Consider the following 14,270-nt stretch of genomic DNA (forward strand, 5'->3'; position numbering starts at 1 on the left):
ATATGAGAAATTACCTACTGAGGTACAATATGTACTACTCAGGTGATGGGCGCACTAAAATCCCAGAGTTCACCACCATACAATTCATCCATTTAACCAAAAACCAAAATATATATATATATATATATATATATATATATATATATATATATATATTTTTTTTTTTTTTTTTTTTTTTTTTTTTTTGAGACAGAGTCTCGCTCTGTCACCCAGGCTGGAGTGCAGTGACACGGAGGCCAAGGTGGGAGAATCACCTGAGGTCGGGAGTTCAAGACCAGCCTGACCAACATGGAGAAACCTTGTCTTACTAAAAATACAAAATTAGCCAGGCGTGGTGGCAATGCCTTTAATCACAGCTACTCAGGAGGCTGAGGCAGGAGAATAGCTTGAACCCGGGAGGCAGAGGTAGCCATGAGCCGTGATCACGCCATTATATTCCAGCCTGGGCAACAAGAGTGAAACTCTGCCTCAAAAAAAAAAGAAAAGAAAAGAAAAGAAAAGGCTTCTGCACAGCAAAAGAAATAATCATCAGAGTAAGAGAACCTACAGAATAGGAGAAAATATTTGCAAACTATGCATCTGACAAAGGACAAACAAATCAGCAAGAAAATGCAAATAATCCCATCAAAAAGTACACAAATGACATGAACAAACATTTTTCAAAAGAAGATGCACAAATGGCCAACAAACATATTTAAAAATGCTCAACAGCACTAATATTCACGGAAATACAAACTAAAACAACAAGGAGATATCACCTTACTCCAGCCAGAATGCTCATTATTAAAAAGTCAAAAAACAATAGATGTTGGTGCAGCTGTGGTGAAAAGGAAATGCTTATACACTGCTGGTGGAAATGTAAATTAGTACAACCTCTGTGAAAAACAGTAGACAGATTTCTCAAACAACTAAAATAGAGCTACCATTCAATCCAACAATCCCCTACTGGGTATCTACCCAAAGGAAAAGAAATCATTATATCAAAAAAAAACACCTGCAAACGTATGTCTATTGCAGCACATTTCACAATTGCGAAGATACGGAATCAACCTAAGGGTCCATCAACCAATGAATGGAATAAATAATATGTGGTATATATATGTCATGGAGTACTACTCAGCCATAAGAAGAATGAAATAAATGTCTTTTGCAGCAACTTGGAAGGGACTGGAGGCCATTATTCTAAGTGAACTAACTCAGGAATGGAAAGCCAAATAAAACCACATTCTCACTCATAATAGGGAGTTAAGCTATGGGTGCACAAATGCAGACAGAGTAGTATAATGGACATCGGAGAATCAGAAGTGGGAGAGTGTGGGAGGAGGATGAGGGATGAGAAACTACCTACTGAGGTACAATGTGTACTACTCGGGTGATAGGCACACTAAAATCCCAGACTTCACCACCATACAATTCATCCATTTAACCGAAAACCACTTGTATACCTAAAGCTATGAAATTAAAAAAAAAGTTTTCAAAAACAATAAAACTGTATAAATTTTTTGAAAATTACTTTGGGTTTAGAAAAGTGACCAGTTCATGCTCTGTTGCTTGAACTATAAATTAACACAAACATTCTTGTGAAAAATTAAGAAATATTGATCAAAGGTCTTTTTAAAAAGTTCCTATATTTCAACCAATAATTCTATATTGGAGAATTTATTCAAAGCAAACCGTTTAGGAATGTAGAAAAACATTTATATAAAAAATGTTCTGGGCTGGGCATGATGGCTCATGTCTGTCATACTAATGATTTGGGAGGCCAATTTTGCAGAAGGAATGCTTGAGGTTGGGAATTGGAGATCATCCTGAGCAACATAGTGATACCCCGTCTCTACAAAACACTTAAAAAGTTAGCCAAGCATGAGAATGTGCACCTGGAGTCCCAACTACTTAGGACGCTGAGGCAGGAGGATGGAGTTCAAGGCTGCAGGGAGATATGATCACACCAGTGAACTCCAGTCCCAGGCACAGAGACCCTGTATCTACAAATAATAGTAACGATAAAAGATGTTCCTTACATCATTAATTATAAATACAAGATAATTTTAAAACCCAAATTACAATTTGTTAAATGAATAACAAGATTTTATATGGTGGACTTCTATATGGCCATTTAGATTGCAAAGAATATACATTTATTTATTAGAAGAGTTCACAGTTAATAATTTGTTTTATTATTTCCAAGAATTTCATATTCCACAAGACCAAAAAGGTTTCTCCCCCATTAATCTGCAGAAGGTAAGTCAGCAGTTACAAAAATTCTGATATATTGTCTTTAGTATAAATATTTCTTTAGAACTAGAACATCATACCTCAAATCGTACAGCTCTTTCTCCCATTCAATTTTTTGAAGTTCTAACTGTAATTTTGTCTTTTTTGTTTCAGATAGCTCATTTTGTAGTACACTGACCATATTTTCCATTTGTTTAAGTTTTACTGTAAGTTGGTCACAGTGATTATTCTTAAGTTTCAGTAAGTGTTCACACAAACAAAATGTGTCTTGGATTCTTGGTAGGCTAGCAGAATCTGTGTCAGGGAGAAAAGGTAGAAATAAAATATATGAGTACTTTTAGGTATTAAAAAACTGTGCATTTTTAACATTGTCTCCTTCATACATTGAACAAATATGCACTGAGTGCCTACAAAGTGGGAGACATTCTACTAAGCTCTGCAGATAAAACAGATAAGACCTCTACTCTCATTTAGCCTTAAGTGAAGTGAGGAACAAACACAACAAAAATGACAATTATAAATTCAGATATATGGTGTAAGAAAACAGAGTTCTATGATCACACAGAAGAATTTGATCTATAATGGGCCCAGGGAAGATTTCCCTGAGGAAGAGATGGCTACACTGAGAAATGAAGGGTGAGAAGGAAGCAGTTAAGCAAAGGGGTAGAAAAGCATTCTTGCCAGTCGACAGCAGGTGCTGAAGCTCTGCTGGAATCTGCTTCTGGCCACAATGGACAGCAAGTACTGATTTACCTTCTTGCCTGAAACAACCAAAAAGAAAACAGACAAAATATATTATACAATGATTTACCAGGCAGTGGACTTCAGGTAATGAAGACAATGATCCCCGTAAGACAGGAAACAAAGGAAATTCATCCAACACTCCAGCTCCCTGCCTTCACGGAGTTTCCAGGCTACCGCACAGAGAGAAAAAACTGACATAGAGTCCACCAGATTCCCTGAGATGAGATGATGAAGCTGAGAGTCTGGTAAAGCCAAGGCAGACAGAGATCACGAAACAGAACACCGGAAAGGAGACAGAGTACAGGGAAAGAACACTGAAGATTTGCAAAAATACCTCCTGGGTATCTAGCAGAGTAACAAACAGCACATGTGTGCCAGAAAAACCGCCCCAGATCAAGGGGAAAAAAACATCTAAAAAACACTGGAAAGAAACATGTCTGGTGTTCACGATGTGCCAAAAAGAGTGTCCATTCCCATGAGTGATGCTGGGAAAACTCAGACTTCGCATGGCAATGAATAGAGTCATCACAAAGATCTTGCCTCAGGAGCAGGAAATTAGACCAAATCATAAAAGCAAGATCAGAAAGATCAAGCTGTTCATATGGAACTCAACTGTATATTAAAATTAAGCTCAAGCAGACAGGCAGAGGCATGGAAGATTTTTCTTTTTTTTTTTTTTCTCTTTTTTTTTTTTTTTTGAGACGGAGTCTTCGCTGTGTCGCCCAGGCTGGAGTGCAGTGGCTTGATCTCGGCTCACTGCAAGCTCCGCCTCCCGGGTTCACGCCATTCTCCTGCCTCAGGCTCCCGAATAGCTGGGACTACAGGCGCCTGCCACCGCGCCCGGCTAATTTTTTTTGTATTTTTAGTAGAGATGGTGTTTCACCGTGTTAGCCAGGATGGTCTCCATCTCCTGACCTCGTGATCCGCCCACCTCGGCCTCCCAAAGTGCTGGGATTACAGGCTTGAGCCACCGCGCCCGGCCGGAAGATTTTTCTTTAAAGCAAACTACACTTGTAGAGATTCAAATTACAGTGTCAGGAATGAAAGCTAAAATGGATGGAAGTGAACACAGATTAGACATCACCAAAGAGAAGATTCATAAATTTGAGACATCAGTGAACTATGAGAAAACTTCAAGGAGGAATAAGTCCCCAAAGAGGGAAAAAGAGAGACAGAAAAATAAAAAAAGAATGGCCAAAACTTTCTAAATGTAAAGAAAACTATAATCCTACAAATCCAGAAGTATCTGGCTGGGAGAGAGGAAATGAAAGTATACTATTCCAATTTTCTTTTTTAAAAAATTTCAATAGCTTTTGGGGTAACAGGTGGTCCTTGGTTACATGAATAAGTTCTTTAGTGGTGGTTTCTGAGATTTTGGCGCACCCATCACCCAAGCAGCATACACTGGATCCAATCCGTAGTCTTTTGTCCCTCACCCCCCTCCCACTCTTTCCCCACAAGTCCCCAACCTGTATCATTTTTATGCCCCTGCATCCTCATAGCATAGCTCCCACTTACAAGTGAGAACATACAATGTTTGGGTTTTCATTCATAATTTTCTTATGCCATATATGATATGCCATAATATTTTTTGAAGATGGACTGTGATGTTAAAATCATATACTATAAATTGTAGTGCAACTGCTAAGATAGAAAAAAATAGTTATCACTAATAAGCCATAAAAGGGAGATAAAAATAAATCATAAAAATTACTGGACTAATTGAGAAGAAAGCAGAAAAAGAAGAGAACAAAGAACTGGGGGGACCAGTGGAAATCAAACAGCTTGATGACAGACAAATTTCACTGTATCAATAAGCACATTATAAATGGAACTGGCCTAAAAGTCTCAATTAAAAGGCAGATTGTCAGACTGGATAAAAAGGCAAGAACCTACTCCATGCTTCCTATTAAAAAAAGCACTTTAAATGTAAAAACATAAATTGTTCAAAAGAATGGAAAAAGATATACCAGGCTAAGAGTTGACAAAAGAAGCCTGAGAAGAAATGGCTATGTTAATACCAAAGTAGATTTCACACCAAAAAAAAAAAAAAAAAAATTACCAGCTATAAACAGTCATTTCCTAATGACTTTTAAAAGTTCAGTTAATCGGCTGGGCGCAGTGGCTCATGCCTGTAATCCTAGCACTTTGGGAGGCCGAGGCAGGTGGATCACGAGGTCAGGAGATTGAGACCATCCTGGCTAACATGGTGAAACCCCGTCTCTACTAAAAATACCAAAAAAAAAAAAAAAAAAAATTCAGTTAATCAAGAACGTGTAATCTCAAATGTTTGTGCACCTAATAACAGCTTCAAAATATATGAGGCAAAAATCAATAGATGAAATAGACAAATTCACAAGTACATCTGAGATTTGAATATCACTTACTCAATAAGTGATAAAACAAGGGAGCTGCAAATCAGCAAGAATGGAGCACACTTGAACAACACCATGCTTCTCAAGTACCCAGTGAGCACTTACCAAACAGACCACATTCTAGGTTCTGCAATCAATCTTTTTTTTTTTTTTTGAGACGGAGTCTCGCTCTGTCGCCCAGGCTGGAGTGCAGTGGCGGGATCTCGGCTCACTGCAAGCTCCGCCTCCCAGGTTCACGCCATTCTCCTGCTTCAGCCTGCCACCACGCCCTGCTAATTTTTTGTATTTTTAGTAGAGACAGAGTTTCACCGTATTGGTCAGGATGGTCTCGATCTCCTGACCTCGTGATCCATCCGCCTCAGCCTCCCAAAGTGCTGGGATTACAGGCGTGAGCCACTGCACCCGGCCTGCAATCAATCTTAATGAAAGAATTAAGTCAGAAAGATTTAAGTCATACGAAGTATGTTCCCTGACCACATGGCAATCAAGTCACAAATTAGTAACAAAATATCTCATCAAAATATTCAAATATTTTAAAACAAAGTAATACACATCTAAATAACCCTAGGTCAAAGACACGATGCAAAGAGAAATTAGAGAGTATTTTGAACTGAATGAAAATGAAAATACTACATATCAGGATTTGTGGAACACAGCTACAACAGTACTTAAAATTTTTTAGCACTTAATGTCTATATTAGAAGACTCTCAAGTCAATGGTCTTGACTTTTATCTTAAGAAACTAAAAAAAGAGAAGAAACTGAAAAAGAAGAACAAATTAAACTCAAAGCAAGCAGAGGAAATGATACAATAAGCATCTGGTATTGTCTGACATTTGCATCCTCCCAGAACTCATATGCTGAAACTTAATCACAGAGGTGATGTTATCAGAAGCTGGGGCTTTGTGGAGGTAATTAGCTCATGGGAGCCAAGCCCTCATTAGTGGGATTAGTGCCCTTATATATATAGACCCCAGAGGGCTCATTCACCTGTTCTGCCATGTGAGGACACAGGGGGAAAAAAGAGATCTATGAACCAGGAATTGGTCCCTCACCAGACACCAAATCTGCCAGCACCTAGATCTTGGACTTTTGTGAGAAATCTATTTCTGTTGTTTATAAGCTACCCAGTCTATGGTATTTTGTTATAGCAGGCCGAACAGACCAAAACATCAAAGATGAAACCAATAAAATGGAAAAACAATAGGAAAAAAATCAATAAAACCACACACTATGAGGAGGTCAATAAAAGTGATAAAACTCTAGCCAGGTTGATCATAAAAAAGAAGATGCAAATTACTAATTTCAGAAACATAGTAATATGACATTTTTATAGATTCTACAGATACTAAAAGAATAGAAATATAATAAGGTAAGCTTTATGTGACTAAACATGACAACTTTGATAAAATGGACACTTTCCCTGAAAAACAAAAATTACCAAGGTCCAATTTAAGAAGGAATAACATGAACTGTCCTATATCTATAAAAGAAAGCATAAGTAAAGCCTTCCTAGAAAGAAAACTCCAGGCCCAGATAGCTATGCTGGTGAATTCTACCAAATATTTAAGAAGCAATATAACAATTTTACATGACCTGTCCCCCGCCCTCAAAAAAAAAAAAAAAAATAGAGGAGAAATACAACTCATTCTGTCACTCTAGCATTACCCTGAACCAAAATCTGACAATGATATTACAAAAAGAGAAAACTCCCTCATGAACACGGACGTAAAAATGTAACCAGTTTCTCAAGAAACCAAGATATCCTCCTTTAGGTGAGTGAACAACTTCTGGTACAGCCATGCGATAATGAGCTATCATGCCATGAGAAGACATGAAGGAACCACAAAGGCATATTACCAAGTGAAAGATGCCAGTCTAAAGGCTACACGCTGTCTGATACCAACTAAATGACATTTTGGAAAAGGCAAAACTATAGACACAGTAAAAAAAGTCAGTGGTTGCCAAGAGTTGGGGAGGGAAGGTGGGAAAAGATGAACAGATGAAGCACAAAGGAGTTTTAAAGCTCTGAAATTACTTTGGATAATACTACAGTGATAAATACATGTCCTTATACTTTTGTCCAAATTCACAGAATATAAGACACCGAGACTGAACCCTAATATAAACTATGGACTTTGGGTGATTATGATTATCAATTCAGGAACATCAATGAGATCAAGTGTAGCACTCTGGTGAGGATATTGATAATTGTGGAGGCTATGCACGTGTGGGGGCAGGGAGTACAGGGATAATCTCTGTGCCTTACTTTCAATTTTGCTGTGAAGCTAAACTACTCTAAAAAATAGTCTTTTAAAACGCTCTAAATAAAGCTTTGGCAAATCAAATCCAATGATACATTAGAAGGATAATACATCATAAACAAGTGGGGTTTATCCCTAAATACACGGTTTGTTTGACAGTAAAATATAAGTATTCACCACATTAAAAAACTAAAAGAGAAGAACCATATGATCATCTCAGTAGATAGAGGCATTTGATAAAATACAACATTCATTCCTGATTTAAAAAAAAAAAAATCCCTCTCAGTAACCAAAGAATACAAGGGAACGCCATCAGCATGATAAAGAGCATCTCTGATAAACCTACAACTAACATGTGTCATGATGAAAAACTGAATGCTTTCCCTGTAAGATCAGGAACAATACAGGAATGTCTCCTTTCACTATTTTAGTCAGCATTGCACTGAAGCCAGTGCAGTTAGGAAAGAAAAGGAAATAAAAGCTACCTGAGTTGAAAAGAAGAAGTAAAACTCTCTTTATTCACAATCATGATCACATAATAGGGATGGGTAAAATCCAACCTGCGGAGCAGCTTCTTATTTTTGCAAATAAAGTTTTAATGGAATGCAGCTGTGTTTTTTAACATATGTATTGTCTATGGCTGGTCTCATACTACAATGGCAGAGTTGATTGGCTGTGACAGAGACCATTTTGTCACAAGTTTAAAATATTTACTATGTTTAGTAAGATAACAGTTTGAAAATGAAAAGGTTTGACTATCTTTGGTGTATGTAAAAAAGCTGATTGAATCGAATCTCAATTTTAAATGTTCATAAGCTACCCAGATTGGAAAAGACAGTTCACAGGTGGCAAATAAGCATATACAAGATGCTCAACATTATTAGTCCTTAGGGTAATGCACATTAAAACCATAATGATATGCATAATACACATCCATCAGAATGGCTAAAATTTCAAAATTTAAAAACAGCAATAATAAGAGCTTGTGATGATACAGAACAACAAGAAATGTCGTATACCTCTGGATGGAATGCAAAATCAATACAAATACTTTGGAAAACAATTTAGCAGTTTCTTAATAAAGAAAGACAAAGGGACAAGAAGAGACTTTTATGGATGATGAACATGTTAGCTCTCTTGATTATGGTGGTTTCAAATGTGCACACGATTGTATATTTTATATACGTGCAGTCTATCACATATCAGTTATACCTCACTGAAGCTATCAGTGCTGGAACAAACATATAAGACACAGAGTGGGACACAGAGAAAGAGAAGAGTAAAAACGATGCAGGATAAAGCTAGAGGATTCAGATCTCTAACCTTACAGCAATAAGAAGTAGTAGCTGAGTTATAAGCAAAGGAGTAACATGATCAGATCCAAATTTTTAAAAATTTATCATTATGATTGCAGAGTAGACCATGGTTTTAGGAGGTGGGGTATTTGGGAAAACAGTTCTAAGATTCCTAAGATTCTCGCAGCATTCCAGGTGGAGAAAAAAATGGTAACCTGACATTGGGGGAAGGAATAGGAGAGAAAGAGTCAACAAAAAGACTGGGAATGCCACTCACACTGAGAGAAGTACAGTGGAGTTATCATAGCTCTTTGGCGTAGAGTATAAGCTAGTTCTCTATTTTAACACTGAGCGTATTTCTGAGATGAGCTTCACTATCACGCGTCAGTTCTCAGCAATGTATACACACATTACTGCAGGATACATCAAAAGGCCTTGCATTTATGCAGTGGTCCTACCTTTATACTCCATTCTAAGTTGTTCAATCAGCAACATAAAATTCTCATAAACAGAGTGAGACAATTCACAATCCTCTGAGGCTATTTCAGATGGCTCCATTGAGTCAGCAAAGTCAGCCTCAGGATATATTTGGTTTTTGACCTATAAGATAAATAATACTGTTTCAAAATGTCCTTCAAAGATTTATAGCATATACTAAAGGTACAGAAGTGGTATTTCTCCATTTTTTTTGTATGAGCAAAAATACAGGTACTTCTTAAAGCAACAGATTGTTCTTAAAAGGTACCATTATCAACGGTTACTGTTTCTTCATCACTTTTTCTAAGCAAACAGCCTTACAACAAAACATCTTGTTTTTTTCATTTTTACCTTTTAGAACTTGTTTTTTAAAAACAATATTTTAGATCATTTCCTTTTTTACAATACCTTGTTCTTTTCATTAGCTGTTTTATCTGCAGGCCTGAAAAAAAAAAACAATTCCTTTTAGAAAAATAGCAAAGATGTAAAATACAAAGAATATCTAACACTACTGTTTTATCATATAAAATGTCTGCATTTGTGTTACTTCTATTCATCAAGTGTATAGGTAATTTTTTTTACAGGTAATGTAAAATGCAGTAATTTTCTACAACGGACATTAAACTATAAACAGAAACAGCAACATTAAGGGATAAAGAAATTTACTACTACTAATATAATTACAAAGAATTAAATTTAGGTCAAGATTTCTCATAGTAAAACCAAAAGAAAAAAACATGTTACCTGCATTATGTGATAAAAATAAATATACCAGGGTCTTCTCATTGTTGTCCTTTTCAATAAAAACAAGCTTTTACGGGCACTAAAACCTATTTGGAAAATATTACTCACATTCTTATATAAGGGAAACCCTTTTTTAATGATGATATTAGTAAGCTTTTTCTGGACTTACTATGCAGGTACTGTGCATCATTCTGAGCACTGTCCATGTGTCAAACTCATATAATCCTCATAACAATTCTGTGAGGTCAGTAACATATTAAGAATTTTATAAAGAAAGAAAATAGGCACAGAAGGGCCAAGTGACTGTCCTCAGCCCATACAGCTGGTCAGTAGCAGACCCAGAACTCAAACCCAAGAATTCTGCCTCAAAAACATGTGCTTCATGATATGCTGTGAAGGTAACATTTATTTTCAAGTGTTTTAAAGAGAGATGATAGCAGATGAACCCACATTGTCATTCCATTTCTGACTACAACTATAAATAATGTCAGAATCTTGCAATTTTTTTCTAATAAAAAAACTTTATACAGAGGCAAGTTTAGAAACCTACTTTCAAAAAACTAAAAAGTATTTTTAATGAAATCCATCAACAGGTATTCATTCATGTATTCACCCATTCATTCACGCGTTCAACAAATAAATACTCATTGAGCACACAATACATGCTGATGGCAATGTTGGTCCAGGGAAACATGGTTTTGATACTTCAGAACTTTATAATCCATTGTAGGTCAACTTGATTAAATATTTTTTAAAAAAACTTTATAGGCCAGGTGCAGTGGCTCACGCCTGTAATCTCAGCACTTTGGGAGGCCGAGGTGGACGGATCACGAGGTCAGGAGTTCAAGACCAGCTTTCCCAAGATGATGAAACCCCGTCTCTACTAAAAATACAAAAATTAGCTGGGCACGGTGGCGGGCGCCTGTAATCCCAGCTACTCAGGAGGCTGAGACAGGAGAATCGCTTGAACCTGGGAAGTGGAGGTTGCAGTGAGCTAAGATTGTGCCACTGCACTCTAGCCTGGGTGAAAGAGCAAGACTCTGTCTCAAAAAAAAAAAAAAAAAAAAAAAACACTTTATAATCCAGAAGTAATAATCTGATAGATTGTCAACAGTTAGCTTTTCTAAAGTACTTAAACAAAACCCTCCCCTTCTCCCCAGAATCTAAACAACTATAAAGTTGATACTCCTGACATTTTAGAGTACCTCAGCAGATCATACCTATTCATCAGGGATGTTTAAATTCTATTCAGTATGGCCTAAGTGTTTGCATGTTTATTATTTCACAATTAAAAACAATCTGCATATGATAGTTTAAATTTTAGGTCACCATTCACAGGTTCAGTTATGCTAATATGTTACATTTCTGAACCAATGCTGAAGGAACAAACTCTTACCATAAAACTCTACATGAATAAACACTTTAAGGACAATTAGTTTGCTAAAAACCTACAAAAGATAGTGAACCGAGCTTTCAAACACTTAGACATACAAAATTAAATCTCATAAACATGTTATCCTTGTCCCTATCATTCCCAGCAGCATACAAACACACTCTAAAAGCTTCTATTTTGAAATAAAAAAGAAAGAAAATTCCCTTGAATCCCACGTTCTTCTTCAATTATCACTCATTTCTCTGTTGCCTTTCCCAATAACGGTTCCCTCAAGGGGTATCTATGCTTATCCACTACAGTCAGGATTCCACAGCAATTATTTATTGAAACTGCTCCTTGTCAAAGTTACCAGCCCTCATCATAATCAGTCTTTCAGCATTGATATAGTTGAGTATTCTCTAGCTTTGGCAGACTACACTATTTTCTATTTCCAGAAAAAGTAACCACTGGGAATATTCCTTCTCAGAGAAATAAAGAACTTATACATTTTAACTTCTTTCAACCTCATCTATTTCACTTAAACTGCTGTCATCATCTCCTTGTAGCAGACCACAAGTTACTAAATTAGCCTTCTCAAACACTGGCGTAATCAGAGATTATTTTGAGGTACATTTTTTATTTTCATTTTTCTTTACTTCCTGCATATGTAACGCAGAACCACAACTTTAAAAAATCTACAAAAGGCCAATGTTTTATAATAATTCTACTGATAACAAAAAAATTTTGTAAAATTCCAACTCTTCTCCATCTCAATTCATTAATTCAAAAAACACAGTTATGAATTATCAACAACATATAAAGAAATATATATTTCCTGCCTCAAAAACCAGGTAATATGCAATTATGATACAATGTGTAGTTTAAGAGTTGATATATGGAAAGTTATATTTTAGCACAAGGAAGGCGTTACAGAAGAGGCAAAATATAAGAGGAGCTCACCAGGGAAAAAATAGAGAAAACTACTCCCCTTGGAGAATGGAATGACAGCACAAAGATTAGTCCCATGGAGTCTAGGTGTTTCCTAGGAACTTGAAAGGAAAAGTGTAAAACACAAAGAAAGTAAGAATGGAAGATGAATGCCACACTAAAAAGCTGGAGTCAGCTGGGTGCGGTGGCTCACACCTGTAATCCCAGCACTTTGGGAGGCTGAGGCGGGCAGATCATGAGGTCAATAGATCAAGACCATCCTGGCCAACATGGTGAAACCCATCTCTACTAAAAATACAAAAATTAGCTGGGCATGGTGGCACACCTGTAGTCCCAGCTATTCGGGAGGCTGAGGCAGAAGAATCGCTTGAACCCAGGAGCTGGAGGTTGCAGTGAGCTGAGATTGCCACTGCACTCCAGCCTGGTGACAGAGACTCTGTCACAAAGAAAAAAGAAAAGAAAAGAAAAAAAAAAAGCTGACCGGGCGCGGTGTCTCACGCCTGTAATCCCAGCACTTTGGGAGGCCGAGGCGGGCGGATCATGAGGTCAGGAGATCGAGACCACAGTGAAACCCCGTCTCTACTAAAAATACAAAAAATTAGCCGGGTGTGGTGGCGGGTGCCTGTAGTCCCAGCTACTCGGGAGGCTGAGGCAGGAGAATGGCGGGAACCCAGGAGGCAGAGCTTGCAGTGAGCTGAGATGGCGCCACTGCACTCCAGCCTGGGCGACAGAGCGAGACCGCGTCTCAAAAAAAAAAAAAAAAAAACAGCTGGAATCCACTGCACACAGGCAATGACTCTCACACATGAAACTCATATTTAGATCTGTGCTATGTTTTGGGTTTTGTTTTTAAATATAATAATGTTTAAACAGATTAAACCAAGTTTTAAAAATAACAGGCACATATTACATGAAAGAAATCAAGGAAATGTCTCGGGAAGAAAAAAATCTTAGTGTTAAAATTCCTAAATGTCAGTATAGTCATTATATATTGTTCAAAAATAGCACTATTCTGATTAGTTATATGTTTGTTTGAAAATAAAATAATTTGGTAAATTTCCCACATATTTAGTCTAGTACTTAGTCTTAATATAAAAAGCTGGATTTGCCAGCAGAAAATTGTAATTACTTTTTTATGAAGTAAACACACATTATATCACTATCATTGCATGGAAGAGAAAGTGAACAAAAAAAGATTAAGGAATAAAAAAAGAATATCACTATCATATAACTACATACATTAACAAAGAGACAAACATTTCCCACTGGAGATTAGGAGTTTAGCAGAAGTCTCTGAAAATACTAAAAACTGAAACAAAATTAATAATTGCTTTTCATTTGTTTGTTTGTTTGCTTGTTTTTTAACTATGTAGCGAATTCTTCTGGTTAAGACTAAGCATCAAAAAAAGAGATCTTCCTGAGAGCAATTATTAAACAATTCCTCTTGACCCACACTTCCAAATTAAGTCTATAGTTCTGGAATATGAAATCATTTTCATTTTAAACATAGTTGATGGAAGGCAACTTTTAAACAGAAAACTGCAGTTTAAAGTTGTCTCAAACTTAGTAGCTATATTTGTAACAAGCAACCACCCACAGCCAGTTGTAAATACAGTCAATCATCAGTGACCATTGGCCTCTCTCACCAACCAATATCAATGTGGGCCACTTGCTTCGGAAAGACAGCCAATTAAACACAAACTCGCTCCAATCCACAAGCCTGGGAGTGTTAACCAACCCACAGCAGCCTCACTCAGATAGCCATGTTTCTCCAGATGATGTTAACCCTCCTATGCCGCTGAGAGTCTGCCAATGCT

At 36.9% G+C, this 14,270-nt stretch overlaps 1 pseudogene across 1 annotated transcript in view; it reads right to left on the reverse strand.

Moving 5' to 3' along the window:
- The window catches only part of CCDC144BP (coiled-coil domain containing 144B, pseudogene), an 87,818-nt pseudogene that overhangs the window by 47,551 nt on the left and 25,997 nt on the right, over window positions 1-14,270 (reverse strand). The window contains exons 7-9 of the transcript NR_036647.1: window positions 9,798-9,831; window positions 9,371-9,512; window positions 2,316-2,529 (exon numbers count right to left, since the gene is read on the reverse strand). The product of NR_036647.1 is annotated as a coiled-coil domain containing 144B, pseudogene (transcript). The remainder of the gene's footprint in view (window positions 1-2,315; window positions 2,530-9,370; window positions 9,513-9,797; window positions 9,832-14,270) is intronic.

This window comes from Homo sapiens, chromosome 17, assembly GCF_000001405.40.
Source record: "Homo sapiens chromosome 17, GRCh38.p14 Primary Assembly".
Lineage (NCBI taxonomy): Eukaryota > Metazoa > Chordata > Mammalia > Primates > Hominidae > Homo > Homo sapiens.